This window comes from Homo sapiens, chromosome 3 (assembly GCF_000001405.40).
Source record: "Homo sapiens chromosome 3, GRCh38.p14 Primary Assembly".
Classification (NCBI taxonomy): Eukaryota; Metazoa; Chordata; class Mammalia; order Primates; family Hominidae; genus Homo; species Homo sapiens.
The window spans coordinates 45754507-45773866 of record NC_000003.12 but is presented as its reverse complement, the minus strand read 5'-3'; the positions used below and the strand labels follow the sequence as shown (position 1 = coordinate 45773866).

The 19360-nt window shown below is 47.4% G+C and overlaps 1 protein-coding gene across 9 annotated transcripts in view; it reads left to right on the top strand.

Moving 5' to 3' along the window:
• The window catches only part of SLC6A20 (solute carrier family 6 member 20), a 41088-nt gene extending 22670 nt beyond the window's left edge, over window positions 1-18418 (top strand). For 3 of the 9 annotated variants that reach the window (NM_001406067.1, NM_020208.4, XM_011533847.3), the window contains 7 exons: window positions 1252-1362; window positions 2409-2650; window positions 3496-3658; window positions 8126-8330; window positions 10795-10954; window positions 13845-14010; window positions 14740-18418. In NM_001406067.1, coding sequence (NP_001392996.1) covers window positions 1252-1362; window positions 2409-2650; window positions 3496-3658; window positions 8126-8330; window positions 10795-10954; window positions 13845-14010; window positions 14740-14889 — 1197 coding nt within the window. In that variant the 3' untranslated portion in view covers window positions 14890-18418. Of the gene's footprint in view, window positions 1-1251; window positions 1363-2375; window positions 2651-3415; window positions 3659-8125; window positions 8331-10794; window positions 10955-13844; window positions 14011-14739 lie in introns of all 9 variants that reach the window. The other 6 variants (NR_176012.1, NR_176011.1, NM_001406066.1 and 3 more) reach the window with 6 other exon arrangements.

Below are 19360 nucleotides of genomic sequence, written 5' to 3'. Positions count from 1 at the left end.
GTGGATTTATTACTCTTCTCAAGTTACAACAACCTCAGCTAAGAAGCAGTGATAAAAGACACACCCCACATTCCACCTGCCGTCCCCTGGGTGACAGCGTACAGAGTGCCATTCTGGTGGCCTTGGAAATGGATGAGAAGATGATGCCACACCTCAATAGGAAGGGAGGGCCAAGTGTAATTCAAGCCCACCTGAACATAGGCCACCAGCCATATTTCTCACAGAGAGACTCAAACTTTAAGGGAACTCTTACACAAAAGACAATCTTGCAAAATATTTATTTCCTTTACAAATGAGGCTCTGGTACACATATGAGTTGATTTACAGAAAAAAATCCATTCCTGGATAGGCACACGTGCACTTGAAGGTCTGTATTCTATGGCTTTGTAACAGTTAGAATCACCCAGAGCATGACAGGTGACTACTAAAGCTACCATGAACACCAAAGATATTAACAAAACATCATTGAACTTACGATGCATGTCGGTGGAGAAAGAAGATCTGGTTGACAAAAATGTCCATTCAGGTGTAATGTTAAAGCCTAAGGAAGTAAACCCTTTCTGGAGGGTTGCCATAAAAATCAGATCTGAATTTCCTATTGTGTTTATTATGGGGACATTGTCCTCTACGCTACACCTCGCTGCTTTCCTGTATGAGCACTCGTGACCAATCTGCTCTCAGGCCCCAGTCCTGGGGAAATCTGTCCTCCTCCAAGCTGCAGATTTTTTTTTCCTTTTAATTGTGTTCCTGCTTTGTGTGTAGGCCACCAGGAAGCTCAGAGCTGAATCTGGCTCAGAAACTGGGTAGAGACTTATGCACAGATTCTATGGGCTGCTTTTTCCTGTGGGCTCATTACTGGATTGCCCATATATTTTTTTCATGCTGATTTCTTTAGCAATTTTGAAATGTTAACGTGACTGATGTGTTTTTGTGGGTAACCTCAAATCCTTTCCAGAATAAGGTCAGGTTGAAGGGAGGGTGGAAGGCAGAGGCTCGGTACCTGTTTGCCTCTTCTCTACTGAATAAGAAATGTCGTGCTGGTCACAGCTGTGAGCAACCACATCCCACCAGCCCACTTCCCCAGCCCTAACCCAGAGCCTGTGTGTGACCAAGAATCTCCATGCCTTTTCCAGCTGTCAGCAGCTGGGCGGTGCAGCCTGAATACCCCAGATGTGGTGTTCCATGGGGCATGGGTCTGTCCTGTGGACCCCACTGCTCCGGGAGGCCAACTCTGCCCTCTGATGCCCGCAGGTGGTGTATTTCACGGCGTCACTGCCCTATTGCGTGCTCATCATCTACCTCATCAGGGGCCTCACGCTCCACGGAGCCACCAATGGCCTCATGTACATGTTCACTCCCAAGGTACGGGCTGAAGCGGAAGGGCCCTACGGGCACCCCTCACTTATCCTGCCACCTTCCAGGATGGGTGGGAAGAGGGAAAGGTGGAGAGTGGGCCAACGCTGTACCTACGGAAGCTGATGTGAGCCCACCAGGGTGTGGCAGGAGTGTGGAGTACCTGCAGTCACTGGATCACCTCCTCAGCCAGGTCATCCCCACTCCCTGTTAATTCTGGAGCATTAAGTCTTTCTTTCAGCTTCTCCTCTTCATCCTCACTGTCCCCCAACTGCTGCACCCCTGCCACTGCCTCACCTCAAGCCCCTTTCAGACTGTGGACCAAGCTTTTTGCCATGAGCACCACTCTGGTCATCTTGCTTGCCTGCTTACATGGTTCCACGCACCCGTTTCCCTACAGAGTTTCCCAACCCACCCATTCTCCATGCACCCCACACCCAGGGTTCATCCATGGAGGGTGCACTCTTGCCTTTGGGATGGGGCAAGTTCTTCATTTGGCAAATGCAGTCCCTAGAAATAAAATGACTGTGTCATCCTTCCCCTTCCCCATTCCAGACGCCACCGATGTCAGTGCCGAGAGTCAACCCACACCTAGACCTCCCCTGCCAGGCCACACCCCCTCCATCTCTGAATGCCCAGACCTGTGCAGTAACTGCCTATGAATCAGGGCCCCATTTGTGTTTTAATTATTTTACCCTGCAGTATTCCATTGCACACCTCCGCACTGGCGTATAGTGGTGAGCATAGCTGCTTCTGGTTACACACCTCCTATGGCTGAGGTGCTATGGAGGATACGTAGCACCTTATGTCCTCCACATAGCACCTGTATTCTCCACAGCACCTTAGCCCTGGGAGGTGTGCAGCTTGAGGTGTGTGTTTCATCTGCCAGGGAGTGGATGGGGCCAGGAGAGCTGGTCTCCAGCCCTAGGGGTGCCCCTGATGGCTGCGTGCTGTAGGTGAGCTCCTTCCCCTCTCTGGGCTACTCTCCTGTTGCGGGTCTGAGCATTTGGGATTCCACCCAGGGATCATCAGCCCTGTCCCTGCTGGCCTTCCAGATAGAGCAGCTGGCCAACCCCAAGGCCTGGATCAATGCAGCCACCCAGATCTTCTTCTCACTTGGCCTGGGCTTCGGCAGCCTGATCGCCTTCGCCAGCTACAATGAGCCATCCAACAACTGCCAGAAGCACGCCATCATCGTGTCCCTCATCAACAGCTTCACCTCCATATTTGCCAGCATTGTCACCTTCTCCATCTATGGCTTCAAGGCCACCTTCAATTATGAAAACTGCTTGAAGAAGTAAGCCTGGGCTGTCCCACCGAGTCCCAGGCCTCCCTGAGCTCTGAGCTGAAGGGTCGCCTGGGCAAGGGCTGGGGCAAAGTGCACCAGTTTTGGAGTCCTCAATCCAGGGCTCACATTTGGACTCCCTACACCACCACCAGTTGCTGGAGGGCCTGGGGCATGTCAACATCTGCCTGGCAGGGATGAGGGCACGTTAGCGTGTTGTGAGCACTTAGCATAATAGGACATACAATGATCAAATTTTGTTTCTTCTACCCCATCTCCCCCACCTCAGAAGTAACCAAGAAGCCTCTAGCTGAGCCACAGAGATTGCAGGATTCACTTTCTGTGGCCCCTTGCCCAAAATACAAAGACATCATCCAGGAGGTATGCTGTCCAGTTGGGTAGTCACTAGCCACAAGTGGCTATTTACAAATTTACATTTAAATCAATGCAACTTAATTCACATTTAAATAACTTAATTCATATTTCAGTACATTCCCTTGTTACTTTCAATCAGTTGCTCAGTGTCCACCATTAAGTGCTCAGTTGCCATATGTGGCCAGTGAGTACCAAATTGGACAGCCCAGATAGAGAGCATTTTCATCAGCACAGAAACTTCTGCTGGACTATGTTGGTCCAGAGGTTAAAATAGCCTAGCTGTGTGAGTTTGGTGCCTGTTGTCATCACTGTTCATATCTGAGGCTTCTTCAGTGCCATTCAAAATTACCCTGCCCTTTAAAAGATCACCAAGCAACAGACTCCCTTTCCTCACCTAATCAGAAAAGAAGAGGCTGACGGGAGGCTTTGGTGACAGCTGCCTTTCTGATCAGTGAAGGTCGATCCGATGGTCTGCTCTGCAGGGTGAGTCTGCTGCTGACCAACACTTTTGACCTTGAAGATGGCTTTTTGACAGCCAGCAACCTGGAGCAGGTGAAGGGCTACCTCGCATCTGCCTACCCAAGCAAATACAGCGAGATGTTCCCGCAAATCAAAAACTGCAGCTTGGAATCGGAGCTAGACACGGTAAGATGCCCAGGCAAGGTCAAGGACTGGCTTCTCTCCACACACTCATGGGAACCTTGGTGAGCTGCTGACTTGGGAGATAGGCGAGGTCTGTAAAAATAAAGAAGGATCCTGAATTACTTTTCCTGCAACTCCAAGGGGAAGAGAGGCTTTAACACCACTCTCTTGAGGGCTGTTCGAGAATGCTAGTTATAATAAACTTCCTGGCGGACCTCTCTGTCCTTTCTCTCTTTTTCTTTTGTCTTTCTAAGCTTTTAAAATACAGAAAAGTAGAGAGAATAACAAACACCCATATATACCACTCAGAAAGATCAATTGTAAACATTTTGTCATTTTGGGCTCAGATTTTTTTATATAAAAGAACATTTCAGAGATGAAGTTAAAAAGTCCCCCTTTTTTTCCCTACTCACCAAAGGCAAGAACCTTCATTTTTATATTTCTATTACCCATCTATGTATTCTTAAATAATATCATTGTTTTGTTGGCAGTTTTTGTTTTATTTTTTCTTTTTTCAACAAGCCTTTTGCACTCCTATGTCAGCAGTTTTTAAATGGGCATAAATGGTCTGGAAAGATACTTCTCTCATTCAGCATTTTAATTTTGAGATCTGTCCATAATAATACATGTGGAACCTCATTTGTTCATTTAAATGCTGCATTTTATTCCATCACACAACAATACTGCAATTTATTTATCCATTCCCTTACTAATAGACATTTGGAGGGTTTTTTTTTTAATTTTTGCTACTGAAAGTCACCTTTATTTATATTTTACAGAATTATCTCTGCTGTGCTGGGACCTTTATTTTTTCACATTGTTTTGAGGATCAGTTTGATAAGTTTCATTGGAAAAAAAAAATCTAGGGAATTTTTACTAGACTTGCATTGATTTTATAGTGTAATTTGGGGAGAATTAATATCTTTTGAATTGTGATATTTGACTCAGGAACATACTTTCTCTTGTTCAGTCAAGTCTTTTAAAACATTCTTCAGCTAACTTTCTCTATGAATGTCTTGGCACATCTTTCATTAGATTTCTATTACCTTACTGTTTTATTGTATTGTGAATGGTGTTTTTTCCCCTCATTTCTATCATTTGTTTTTGTTGCAAAAGAAAGCTAAATATTTTATATGTTGACCTTGTATCTAGCAATCTTGATGAATTCTCTTATTAATTCTCATATTTATGTATAGATTTGCTTCAGTTTTCTATGTAAACTATCATATCTCCTGCAGATCAAATTTTGCATTTTTCTTTTCAATGCTTATATCTCATTCCCTTTTTCTTATTGTATTCACTAGGACTTCTAGCACATGGGAGTAGAAGTGATAGTGGGCATATTTGCCTAATTCTTATATTTAATGCAAATACTTCTAGAGATTATTCCTAGAGAGTGTTCCTAGGTAATGTTTTTCAAGGATAGGGAGTAGGGAGGGCCTGTGGCTCTGGTTGCTAGTAAGCTACTTTGGAGGTTGATATTTTTGGGGTGGTTGGTTGGTTGGGTTTGGTTTGTTTGGCACTTTGTTTCATGGGTACAACCACTGTAGGTCATTTCATGGGTGGGACAATGCTTTTTTCTCCTGGTTGTTCAGCCCTAGCTCCATGCCTGTTATTGGCCTGTGGCATGAGCCTGCTTCCCCAGGCAGGCATCAGACCCCAGCCCACAAACCCCAGCCCTCAAGGCCTAGGTCCTGTTCAGGTGACCCATGAGGTCCTTTGGCTTCAGCACTTGTTCAGTGCTCTCACTTCAACTTTCCTTTATGGATGGCACCTGGGAGTTTTCCTCACTTACTTTTGAGCTTGGCTCTACAGCCAAGAATTACATGGTTGGTTATTGATTTATCTAGACTTCATTTTTCCTGTTGCTTTGTTCTTTTTTTTTTCTTTCTTTTCTTTCCCCATTCCACTTTATTCCCTGCTGTTTGGAATTTGGTTGCTTGATTTCTCTTCTTGAAATTTTCCTTTCATATTTAACTTAATAAAGTCTAAAGTTAAACAGTATCTTGACCTCCTTCCCAAAATTCAAAAGGACTTTAGAGTACTTTCATTTTATCTCCCATTTTAAATGATTGTTTTCTAGTTCTGTCTCCTTAACCCCATACATTGGACATGACATTATGGTTATTTTATACAGCTCTTGTATTTACCTACATGTTTGCCATTTTATTTGTTCACCATTCTTTCTTGCATCCCAGCATCTCCAAAGGTTTTTCCTTAAAATACTTTCATTTAGAACAGTTTTCTTAAATTTTGTTCTATAATTGGCATCTATCTTTTAAAGACATTGTTCCTCGGAGTAGAAAATTCCAGGTTAACAATTATTTTCTCTCAACACTTTGAAGATGTTTGCCATGTGATTCAGGCTTCCATTGTTGCTCTTGATATTTTCTTTTATTCTTTGTAAGCAAGCAGCTTTTTCTCTTTCTCATGATCTTCTCTTCGTCTTTGGCCTCTGCAATCTAGACATGGCATGAATATATTTTTATTTATCCACTCTAGGCCTGGGTGAGGTTGGGCTTCCTGGATCTAAGGGTCCAATGTTTCTTATCAGTTTTGGAAAATTCATACCTATTATCTCATAATCGTTGTCTCTGATTCTCTCATTTTTCTCCTTTTGGAACTTCATTAGATGTGACTTTTTCATCCTGTCCTACAGGTCTCTTAACCTCTCTTTTATTTTTCCCATCTTTTTATCCTTTTTTATTTTATTGATTCATTTCTGGATATATCTTTCAGTTCACTAACTCTCTTTTCAGCTGCATCTAATCTGGTATTTAACTGTCAATTGAGCCTTTTAATTCAATAACTATATTTTTTATATAGATGCTATTTTTTTCAGATTTACTTGTCCATCCCAATAGTTTATTGATACATGTTTATTTTTGTAATGTTATCCTTTGTTTCTTTAAACATTTCATACGTAACTGTTTCAGTGGTGGCCATAGGCAAGAGAAGGAGAGCAGTATTTTAACACTATTTAGAATTGCTGGCTCATGATAATCATAAAAAGTATATCAACTTTTTGTAGATTTTTACTATTGTTTTTAAGTTCTCTACAAGTGATCACTCCCTTGTTGTCAGCACATAAAGCCAACTATTTTCAGTATGCCCCTGAGCAACTGGTATACTATAGAATTGACCTGTGTTCTTATATTAGTCAGTGCAGCCTGCCATAACAAAATATAGGCTGGGTGGCTTAAACAACGTAAATTTATTTTCTTTTATTTACTTTTAGTAGAGACAAGGTCTTGCTATGTTGCGCAGGCTGATCTCAAACTCCTGAGCTCAAGTGATCCTCCCACCTAAGCCTCCCAAAGTGCTGGGATTACAGGCATGAGCCGCTGTGCCCAGCAAAAAACAGGAATTTGTCTCTCAATCCTAGAGGCTGAGAAGTCCAAGATCAAGGGCCAGCAGGGTTTGGTTTCTGATGAAGACCTATTTCCTGGTTCGTGAACACCTATCTTCTCACTGTGTCCTCACATAATAGAGAGTTCTCTCTCTCTCTCTTCCTCTTGTTATAAGGCTACAGTCTGGTCAGATTAGGGCTCCAATATTATAACTCAATTTAACCTTAATTACCCCCTAAAGACCCTATCTCCAGATACAGTCACATTGGGAGCTAGGGTTTCAACATACAAATTTCAGGTGGACATGGTTCAGTCCATAGCAATTCTGAATCTGACAGTCCAACATCTGCCACCTCGGGGAGGGATGTTCTAAATCTGATTTCTTATCTTGCTAGTTCTTCACTCATAGTGACTTCTCTCCTTGTGGGTTTGTAAATCCCTGTTTATGAGCACTTTGCTCAATCTCTGGGAATCCTGTGCATCTAAACCGGGTGGGGGGGCTTCTACCCAGGGAGGGCTTGTTTTTGCTTCTTCTGTGGGTAGCCAGAGAGTACGCACAACCTATTATCCCTTTTGAGCCCCTTAGGGGATTTGTCTTTAAGCAGGAGTTCCAGCCTCAATTTCCATAGTTTAACATTTCCGCAACAGAGTTACCAGCACAGGGACGTGACCGCTGAGCACCTGCCCCTCCTGGTTGCCTGCTGACCAAGCTGTCTCCCTACAATTCTGCTTCCTGCTGCCCTGGCCCCGCCCTCCCTCCTCAGGTCCCAGCCACGGAGGTTTCAGGACACCTAGTCGGTCATCACATTAGAAGCAGAAATTATCCATTGTTTTATTATCTTTCATCCAGAATGTACGTAAGTTGGGGCAGGAGAGGGGAACTCAGTGTTGCAGGCTGGCTACAAGTTCTCACGTGCTTTGCATATATGAGCTCCTGGCAGCTCCCATTTCGTTTCAGCCCAGCTGAGTGTAAGGGGTTGATCTGCAGATGGAAGCTCCAACCTCACAATGTGGCTTCTCATGGCCACTTCCAAGGTCCCCCATGTTGCTTAGTACTGAGTGCGTGAATAAGACTATAAGTCCCTCTTGCATGTAACTGGTGTCTTCTCACCCTGGGCAGGCCGTCCAGGGCACTGGCCTGGCATTCATCGTCTACACAGAGGCCATTAAAAACATGGAGGTGTCCCAGCTGTGGTCGGTGCTCTACTTCTTCATGCTGCTGATGCTGGGCATTGGGAGCATGCTGGGGAACACAGCGGCCATCCTCACCCCTCTGACAGACAGCAAGATCATCTCCAGCCACCTGCCCAAGGAGGCCATCTCAGGTCAGCGGGGCCAGCCAGTGGAGGAGGCAGGGGTCAGGAGGGCCAAGGCGTGGGGGTGAACAGGGGAGAGCTCCCTCAGGGGTCATGGGCTGGTTCAGGTGGCTACAGGGGGTTGCAGCCACCTCACCACGGTCCTGCCATGTCTTCTCACAACCTGGGACCTGGGCCATGTGATTCACCCTGTGCGTTCCATTCTCCACATCACAGGGAAGTGAAGTGGCCACCCCAACCCAACTCCCCAACCTGACATTCAAAGTTCTCCAGGCTAGGAGAGAACTCGATTTTGTTTCTGTTCATTTTCATTGAAGTATATTATATATATTTCAGACGGAGTCTCGCTCTGTTGCCCAGGCTGGAGTTCAGTGGCGTGATCTTGGCTCACTGCAACCTCCATCTCCCAGGTTCAAGTGATTCTCCTGCCTCACCCTCCCGAGTAGCTGGGATTACAGGTGCACGCCATGACACCTGGCTAATTTTTGTATTTTTAGTAGAGAAGGGGTTTCACCATGTTGGCCAGGCTGGTCTCGAACTCCTGACCCCAGGTGATTCGCCCATCTCAGCCTCCGAAAGTGCTGGGATTACAGGTGTGAGCCACCACACCTGGCCTGAAGTATGACCATTATAAAGTGTACATTTCTTAAGTACAAACTCAGTGGATTTTACATATGTATCCACCCAAGGAACCACCACCTAGGTCAAGATACAGAACATTTTCCACACCCTAGACAGTTCCTTCACACCCCTTCCCAGGCAGTATGCACCCCTGGAGTTCACCTCTATTTCTGACTTCTACATTTTAGGGGTTTTTTTCCTTTTTTTTTTTTTTTTGTTTTTAAAGAAACAGTCTCACTCTGTCACCCAGGCTGGAGTGCAATGGTGCGATCTTGGCTCACTGCAACCTCCACCTCCCAGGCTCAAGCTATTCTCGTGCCTCATCCTCCTGAGTAGCTGGGATTATAGGTGCACACCATGATGCCTGGCTAATTTTTGTATTTTAGTAAAGATGGGGTTTCCCCGTGTTGGCCAGGCTGGTCTCAAACTCCTGACCTCAAGTGATCTGCCTGCCTTGGCCTCCCAAAATACTGGGATTACAGGCATGAGTCATTGCGCCTGGCCTTCCTGTTCCTGAATTTCATATGAACGAAGTCCTATTGTACACACTCTACGTCTATTGTCTTCACTCAGAATCTACCTGTGAGATCCACTCATGTTGTTTCGAGCAGCGATCGTCTGCCCCTTTTTGTGCCTATACAATAATCCATTGTAAGGTGACATACCACAGTTTCTTTATCCATTCTGCTGTTGATGGACATTTCAGATCTTAGGAAATGAGCTGGCTTTTCCAATTACATCTCTCATGGTTTCACTCCCTGGCCCATCTGCTCCACTCCAATCAGGCAGTGCCTCAAGGACCCTGTGGCCTACACTACTCCGTCTCTGAAAACACCATTCCTTGACATGCAGGATGAATCAAACCCAGCTCCCAGGCCATCTCCTTCAAGCCCCGACCACTCCAGTTGGAGTTGCCCCCACCTCTTCAGAGTGCTGCAGCACTTAGACCCCCTCCTCAGGCCTGGTCTTTGTAGCCAACACTAGGTGTGCCCATAGCCTTCAGCCAGCGCATGGCCCCTTTCTCCTTGTGTGTCCCCGTCGGGATAGCAGGAGGGCTCGGTAGCTGGCAGTGTACGGTGTGCTAGTGGAAAGGGCAGGTGTGGGCTCTAGACTCAGACATGCATGGGGTCCCCAGGGAAGGCAGCTGGAGGGGCCTGGGATGAAGGCCCAGGTTCTGGAGGCTAAAGGGCCTGGGTCTGAATCCTCACTCTGCCATGGATGTGCTATGGGATGTCGGGGGAGCCTTAGACATCTCTGAGCCTTGCCTTCCCATCTGTGAAAGGGGGCTCCGGACACCTGCCTCAGAGGCCTAAGGGTCCAACGCATTGCAAGTGCCTGGCACAAGGGAGGATCTGGGTGGACATTTGTCTCTTCCCTGCCCCACCCTCTTCTGGGTGGAGGCAAGTCCTCTCTAGGAAGTCCTGATGGGGCCACTCCATATTCAAGCCTCCTCCCCTGATTCATTTCTCATGAGCTCCAGGGCTGAGTTGTTGGGATAAACAGCGGGGGTTATAATTGTAGACCCACAGCCTGGGCGGGATCCTGGAATGACAGTGCCCACTACGTCTGCTTGTTCATTGAGCTTTAAGCTCTGCCACCCCTGCAGGGCAGCTCAGTGAGTCAACATCAGTGACCCCTGCCAACACGCTTCGGGACACCATTGTGCCCCCTGCCCCACACACGTGGCACACACCTTCAGAGAGTCCAAACCATGACAGCTCTTTCAACCCATGTGGATGAAGCAATCAGCCAAAATTCCCTGAGGGCCGACGACCCCACTGTCCTGTAGAGAACTGGTAAGCAGTAGTGGGGGGGTCTCGGGCAGGTGAGCAGCTGGTCTTGTGGCCCCCAGGTCTGGTGTGCCTTGTCAACTGTGCCATTGGCATGGTGTTCACGATGGAGGCTGGGAACTACTGGTTTGACATATTCAACGACTACGCGGCCACACTGTCCCTGCTGCTCATCGTGCTGGTGGAGACGATTGCCGTGTGCTACGTGTACGGGCTGAGGAGGTGAGGAGGCCCAGGACCCTCATTTGCATAGGGAAAACACAGCCACAGAGGCCACGCCCCTCAAGGAAAACAGCTGTTTCTTGATGCACATCTTCACCTCTTCTTTAAGCTTCGCATCATGACTCAACGTTTGTTCTTTGCCCGCAGATCTCAGCTTATGCTCTGCCTCTATTCCATGCTCAGTTTGCTTCAGTGAATATCTTTTTCTCTATTCCCTGTACTTTTGCTTTGTATCATAGGCTGTTTTAGGGTTGACCCTGCTGGACCCCCACAGCTTACTGGGGCAGGGAATTGTGCCTCCAGGCACTGGATGCTCTGATCATCGGCCAACATCAGTATTTTCCAAGAACCCTGACCAAAGTCCAGTTGATAACTTAGACCTTAGAAAATTTGGCAGATTCAAAATTTAGTCAGTGAGGTTCTCAATCCCAGTGCACAGCACGGGACTGGAATGTTTTAGTTCTCCCCAGGTGATGGAATGTGCAGCTGGGGCAAGAGCCACTGGTCTAGAGCAACCTTCAAACTCGAGTGTGCCTCAGAGTCCCTTGGGCTGGTCAAACACAGCTGTGAGACTCACCCCCAGGGTTCTGATCAGGCAGGCCAGGGGAGGGCCAAGAATTCACATTTCTAGCAGGTTCCCAGATGAGTCTGGCACCCACACTTTGAGAACCACTGGCCTAGAGAGCTTTGCTACCTCAAGTGTGGTCCCTAGAGCGGGAGCAGCAGCAACAAGGCGCTCGTTGGGACTGCAGAAGCTCGGGCCCACCCCATCCTGCTGAATCAGATCCTGTATCTTCACACTATGTCCAGGGGGCCTGAGGCACATCACAGTTTGGGCAGCGCTGCTCTAGTGGGTGCGGTTTGGGCGAGGAGGCTGTGCCACGTTGTTTTCTGCCCTCTTCCCCAGTCTTTTTGATCCTCTGTGCTGGTTCAGGGTGGGGAGGGAGACATTGACAACACTCTGGGAGGCAGGCATCCCTGAAGCAGCAATCCCTGCTGTGTCCCCGGAAAGGCCAGGGTCCCGTGCCATGCTGAGGGATCTCCCATGATCCATCAGGACATAAGTTAAACAAAGCCAAATTGATGTCTTTCCCGTAGGACTTCTCAGAATCTTAAAGACAGTTGTGGATCCCAAAGAGAGGGTTAGAATTGCAGCATTTCCAGACTTACTTGGTCAAGGAATGCCTTTTCACCCTCCTCTCACCCGACTCCCACCCTTAGCTACTAACATTTTGAGGACACTAGTGTTAAGGGGACCAACTCTCCCTGTTTCCCCAGGATTGAGGGGTTTTCTGGGACGTGGAACTTTCAGTACTAAAATTGGGAAAATCCCTGGTCACCTAGGAAATGCCAGTCTAGAGGGAGAAAGAGATTGGTCACTGAGAGGGTGAGTGTTTCAGGATAAAAAGAGAAGGTTGGGAGAGAGGAACAGAACCTAGGGCCCGCTGGAGGTCACTAGATGGGTGAGGGGCACAAGTCCATCAAAAAGGGGCTGGTGAAGGGAGACAGAGGCAGAAACAAACGTGCCTTGGAGATGTCGTAGGTGGACTGACCATGTAAGTGGCAGGAGGGGAGTGCTTCGGCTTGCTCAGGTGACACCGCCATCTAGTGACCACCCAGCAACAGTGTCCTGGGGCTTTTCTGCAGCCAGCTCTTCCCAACTTTCTCCATCCAGGAAAGGGGGGGGGGTTATGGGGGTGTGAAGGGACAAGAGGACCCCCAACACTTTTTCACCTGTCTGATTTTGAAAGCCCCAGGTTTTCGTGTCACATACATGAGCCTTCATGGCCTGCAGCCTAGAGTCCAACTACGTCAGCAGCAGCAAAGGGCAGGTGGTGGTCGCCACACAGCCTCGCATGGACACCCAGGACATGCAGCAGGTCCCAGGGAGGGAGGGGCTGTGGCTGCAGCTGGTGACGTCACACCCACACCACCCCAGCCCCTCCCGCCAAGGCTGCCTCTTCCGCTGTAGGGAGCAGGTTTAAAGGCTCTGGGCTGGAGGCAGGAGGCCAACCCAGGTTCTGGGCCTGGTCTTTACCAAGCCCTAAGGAAGAAGGCATCGCAGCCCTGGGCCTTGGTTCCTCCTGTGTGAAATGGGGAGTTTCGTTGGGCCAACATCTCCCAAAATGCCAAAGATACTTTTTATACTGTGTACGTGTATTCAAAAACACACGTACTTAGTTTGTCAAGTCGATGAGAAACTGGCTGCTGTTGTGCTGCTGCTAACCGTAGGTTTAAAAGTAAAGAAGAGGGAAAAGAGAGCTACAGGCATGATGGAGGTGGTGATGGTGGCTGTGGGCAACGCCTTTGGGACTCACTGCCCTGGCCACTCTAGACCAGCTCCAGCAGGCCAGGGCTACGGTCCTTCAGTCCGAGGTTGGCTCTTCCTCTGTCCCAGAAAACCTGCTCTGGTTTCAATGGACCAAGTGATTCTGCTCCGTGGTGTTTCTACTGGGAAAGGGAGTCACTGATTGACAGGGGCGGGCTGGGTAGGGGGGTGGGCAAAGCCGCCCAAGAAGTCCCTGTCATTGATGACCAGCCTGACAAATGTCCATCCCCTGCTGCCTGTGCCCACCATTCCTGGAGGCTGCCCTCTGGGCTATGCCAGCAGCCTTCATCTGAAGGCTGGCATTAGGAAGGCGTCTTCTGATGTCCACTCTCTGCGGGTTGCTTGCTCCGTCATCCCTTCTGGGCAGCCTCAGCCCTTCTCCCCTCCCCACCGCAGCACTCGTCTCTCAAGAAGGTGTCACAGAGGAGCCCAGTGGCCAAGCTCAGACATCCTTTACCACCTAGAACAGAATGTTCCTTTGTGAATAGGGACAGGCAAGCTGGACGCCCTGACCTCCGCAGCCTGGTTAATCCAGACTTTCTCTCCCTGTTTTCCAAATAGATTTGAAAGTGACCTTAAGGCCATGACCGGCCGAGCTGTGAGCTGGTACTGGAAGGTGATGTGGGCTGGCGTAAGCCCACTGCTGATTGTCAGCCTCTTTGTCTTCTACCTGAGCGACTACATCCTCACGGGGACCCTGAAGTATCAAGCCTGGGACGCCTCCCAGGTATCTACTGTCTCCGTAGGGCTGGCGCTGGGCCCCCATGGCCACTGAAAAGCATGGGCCATTCATTTTCCGAAACCAGGGGACTATTTCCATGGTGTGGGTAGGTTATTTGTCACGACATGGAAATATCACTGAGGTATTTTAGAAATAGTCCAGCACGGAGGAGCTGGGCTTTGAGCTTTTAGGTATGTGCTTCAGTGGGGCGAGAGGAAGGCACTCCTCCAGAGCTTCCCCATCCACCTGTCCCCCGGAAGCTGAGAAAAACTCCCGCTGCAAAGGCGCCAGCTCCTGCCTCCTGAGCAGCGCTCTCCTCCGCGCCTACCGCAGCAGACAGCACTGACAGAGAACGTTGCTACCTTCACGGGAAAGTCCCATTCCAGGCTAAGAGTAGTCGCCTACAGTTTAGGTTCCCTGAAAGTTGCCTTAGACATAAGGTGCTTGATTATTACCATGGTTATTCATTATGGGTAGCTCCAAACAATAGCTCTACACCCACTGGTTCAAGTAGTTACTATTATTCCTAGTTTATGGAAGAAAAAGAAGGTGAGGGCAGTTAGGCTCCTGGCACATTTGCTAGTGAATTGCAGAGCCCGTGGCCCCAGGAGTGAGGACACCGGCCCCACATGCTCTCTGCCCACGTCACATCACCTCCCCATCACGGATGGGCCCTGAGGCCCAGGGGCAGTGCTCAGCAGGTGCTCTCTGCTGACACTCAGTCTCTCCTTTCAGGGCCAGCTCGTGACCAAAGATTACCCGGCCTATGCACTGGCTGTCATCGGGCTGCTTGTGGCCTCCTCCACCATGTGCATCCCCCTGGCGGCCCTGGGGACTTTTGTTCAGCGTCGCCTCAAGAGGGGAGACGCAGACCCCGTGGCCTGAGATGTGGGCTTCCCAGCCGCTCACGGTTTTACAGATACTATTTACAGGCGGAAACTCCTCGGCTGCTTTTTCAAATGCTTAAGCCAGGAGTGCTCAGCCCATCAACTTCCTGAGTGTCTAAAGAAGATGAGGAAGGTGTGCAGGAAGAAAACTCCCTTGGGAGAACGCACACCCTCCCGTGGTGGCTGTTCCTCCCTGTCACCTGCCTCCTCATCATGGAAGGGGGTGGGCTATGAAAGCCGGTCTCAAAGATAACTGCATCCTTCATTCCAGGAAAGCCCTAGAATTAGGGCACATTGCAAACTGAAATATGACTATAATTCTTATGGGACCAAATTTAAGCAATTTTTGTTTTTGGCTGAAGAGACACCAAAATATTAGAGGACAAATATTTTTAGATCCATTTAAGGAGTTTTGAAGTGCCTAAGATGACCTATTTGTCAGTGGTGCAAAATTAATTCTCTTCTTTTTTGAGTTGTAGTGAATATGCAATTTCTGTGTTCCCCTTCCACCCTTTAAATCTTAGGATGACAAGTTATAAAGAAAGAAGATCTTTGTCTGGGACCCCCAAAGGGATCCTTTCTCTAAGGTCTCTGACGGTGGGTCCAGGACCAGACCTCTCTACAAAAAATTGCCCCAACTACAGTTTGCAACCCCAAACCACATTAGAAGTCTGTGCAGACATCCCTCCGTGGTGTGTGTCTTGGTGCATTGGAAAAGGAGTCAGGAGCCACTGTGAGGTGAGAATGAAAGTGGATCTCAGCTGGGCACGGTGGCTCACGCCTGTAATCCTAGCACCTTGGGGGTCAAGGTGGGTGGATCACTTGAGGTCAGGAGTTTGAGGCCAGCCTGGCCAACATGGCGAAACCCCATTTCTACTAAAAATACAAAAAAATTAGCTGGGAGTGGTGGCATAGGCCTGTAATTCCAGCTACTCTGGCTGCTGAGGCACAAGAATCATTTGAACCTAGGAGGTGGCGGTTGCTGTGAGCCAAGATCATGCCACTCCACTCCAGTCTGGGCGACAGAGCAAGACTCTGACTCAAAAAAAAAAAAAAAAAAAAGTGGCTCTGACTTTCCCATAGGCTTAATATTACATTTGGACATCGTGGCCAACTCTATCAAGACCACAAATACCACTTACAATTAATTTTAAATTATTCATCTGTACATAGTTTTCTAAAATGTATATAATTCAAACAGAGCATCTTGTAACTGAAGACACACCATATCTATGATATCGCATTAGTCCATGTGGGGAAAAGAAAGATCAGATTGTTACTGTGTCTGTGTAGAAAAGGAAGACATAAGAAACTCCATTTTGATCTGTACTAAGAAAAATTGTTTCTGCTTTGAGATGTTGTTAGCCTATAACTTTAGCCCCAACTCTGTGCTCACAGAAACATGCGCTGTAATGAATCAAAGTTTAATGGATTTAGGGCTGTGCAGGATGTGCCTTGTTAACAATATGTTTGCAGGCTGTATGCTTGGTAGAAGTCATCGCCATTCTCCATTCTCGATTAACCAGGGACACAATGCACAGCAGAAAGCTGCAGGGACCTCTGCCCAAGAAAGCCTGGGTATTGTCCAAGGTTTCCCCCCCACTGAGACAGCCTGAGATATGGCCTCATGGGAAGGGAAAGACCTGACTGTCCCCCAGCCCGACACCTGTAAAGGGTCGGTGCTGAGGAGGAATAGTGAAGGAGGGAGGCCTCTTTGCAGTTGAGATAAGAGGAAGGCTTCTGTCTCCTGCTTGTCCCTGGTAATGGAATGTCTCGGTGTAAAAAGCTGACCATTCCCATTCGTTCTATTCTGAGATAGGAGAAAACCGCCCTGTGGCTGGAGGTGAGATATGCTGGCAGCAATACTGCTCTGTTACTCCTTGCTACACTGAGATGTTTGGGTAAAGAGAAACATAAATCTAGCCTACGTGCACATCTGGGCACAGTACCTTTCCTTGAACTTATTCGTGATACAGATTCCTTTGCTCACATGTTTCCCTGCTGACCTTCTTCCCACCTGTTGCCCTGCTACACTCCCCTCGCTAAGACAGTAAAAATAATGATCAATAAATACTGAGGGAACTCAGAGGCCAGCGCCGGTGCGGGTCCTCCACATGCTGAGCGCCGGTCCTGGGCCCACTGTTCTTTCTCTATACTTTGTCTCTGTGTCTTATTTCTTTTCTCAAAAAAATTTTTCTTTTTTTAACTGCAATAAAGTAGGTCGTTACCCCTAAAGTGAGCGAGTCCCTTCCTGCTCTAACGTCCAGTGCTTCCTTGAGATCATGGAATTCTGGAGAGTTTCTGTGGATATATTTGCACAGATATCTTTGAAGACACAAACACTCACCTGGGACGTTGGCCGGAGATGTCTTTTTATTTTTGTGCTGTAAAATTCTCTTACAGCAAAAATAGGCTTTAGAAAGGTCTTCTACTGTCTTCAGCAACCATCTCATCTTCCAGCTTCACCTGATTGTCCAGTTATCATACATTTGACTTTCAAATGTATGAACCAGCATGTACCCCATGGATTTAATCTTATCTACCCCGTGGATTCAATCTTCTTATCAGAAGGTTCTTTTATGTCAAAAAACCTGCTGTCAAGGCTTGAAGAGCCGGCACACTCAATGGCAAACACAGCACCGAGTCTGCTCTGAATCCTGGAGGATCTGGCCCTCCTCTCAATCCCCACTCACAGTCACCGTCTTACAACTCAGGGCCACCTGGGATCAGTCATCAGTCAGGGTGCGTAAGCCTTGAATACCAGGTAGCCTCAGGAGTGAAAAGATAAATGTCCTAGATCATTACCTTATTCAGTGTCCCCACCTTGCAGCGCATTCCAACCACCTGGGAGCATTTAAAACTCCAGATGCCCACACCACACCCTGGGGCCACCCATCAGACCTTCTGGAAGCAAGACCTGGGCCTCCATGGCCCCAAAAACTCCCTAGGTGATCCGATGTGCAGCCAAATCTGAGAGGCCCCATTTAAAAAAGAAAGAACATGGGTGGTACATTGAGGAGTATTTACATTTTATAAAATGACTTAAAAATTTGAAGGCATTTTTGAGCATTTCCAATTATATGGAAGAGTTACTTCTACGGAATAGTTTTTGCTCATGGAACTCAAACAGATGAAGCACCACTGTTACAGAATAATGTGCTCCAGATGAAAATGTCTCGTTTCTGTGAATTTCATGAAGAGCAGAACATTTCTCAAGAATCCTCTTGAGCCAGTAATCAATCCTGTCTCAAAAAATGTTCTTTGCCATTTCCTAGATACTGCACAAAAGTGGCCATGTCGACATTTGTCCACCCACCCTCCAATAAGCTGGAGCGACAAAGGGACATTCCATCCCTGTACCCTTAGTGGTAGCCATGACACGATGGCCAGATCATGGACTCCGGAAAGCTTTCTGTTTTTACTGGAAACATAGCAAACCTTGATTTAGCTCCAAGAAATTGAGTAGGGAAATATTTGTTTTTTAGCAATTGTCATAGTAAATAAAACTCTAAGCAAGTGTATCTACAGTTTTTGGTTTTGGGTTTTGCTTTTGTCACTTACTGGATACAGTTTAAGACTTCTCTCAACACAAGATTTTCTCTCATGTAGAAACACAAGCTAATTTTGAAAAAATGGAAAATAAGTGGGGGGGACAAATCCATCCAACCTTTTTTTCTGTCACCCTTTTCTGCGTTTACCTCTTCATATAACCCGTGAGACCGCACCAATGCAGTGGATGAAGTCTATCATGGGAAGATGAGAGATAGATAGAGTCCACAAGAAAAGTTAGAAAAAAAATTTCTAATTGGCCGGATTTAAAACAGAATGTGAGCCCCTTGGAATTGCTGCAGAATCTTGCCACTCCTTTTGAGAGTGTCCCGGGCAGTCTTGCCCATCTCAGCGTCTCTTTTTGGCCAGGGCCATGCAGAACCACATTAGGTTTGAATGTGACCTCAGAGCCTCACCTCAGAGGGGGGAGTGTGTAAACTATTGTATTTGATTTTTGTATGAGTTACTTTACATGGAAAAATTAACTTATGCCACCTTATAGGTAGAAAAGCTGGGGTAGAGAATTAACTAAGCCGATTTTCTGCCCTACATCAGTCAGGGGAAGAAAAAAATAACAGATTTACACATCCCTTTGCAAGGCAAAAATTGCATCTACAAATAGCAAATTCTTAACCTGAATTTCCTGACCAGTCTCTTACATGTGGATCACTTTTCTATTATTCACCCTCCTGTAGGGTGGGTGGATCAGCCTTTTTTGAGATTACCCAACTAGTATATTACAAACCAGTCCCTTGGTATGCGCCGGGGGCAATGGTGAACAGGATAGACACAGTCGCTGGCCTTTATGGCACTTACATTCTGGAAAAGGAGACAGACAATGATGCATAACAAATAAATCATATGATTACAGACTGTGATCATGTCTAAGAAGGAAATAAATGGCCCGATGTGGTGGCGTT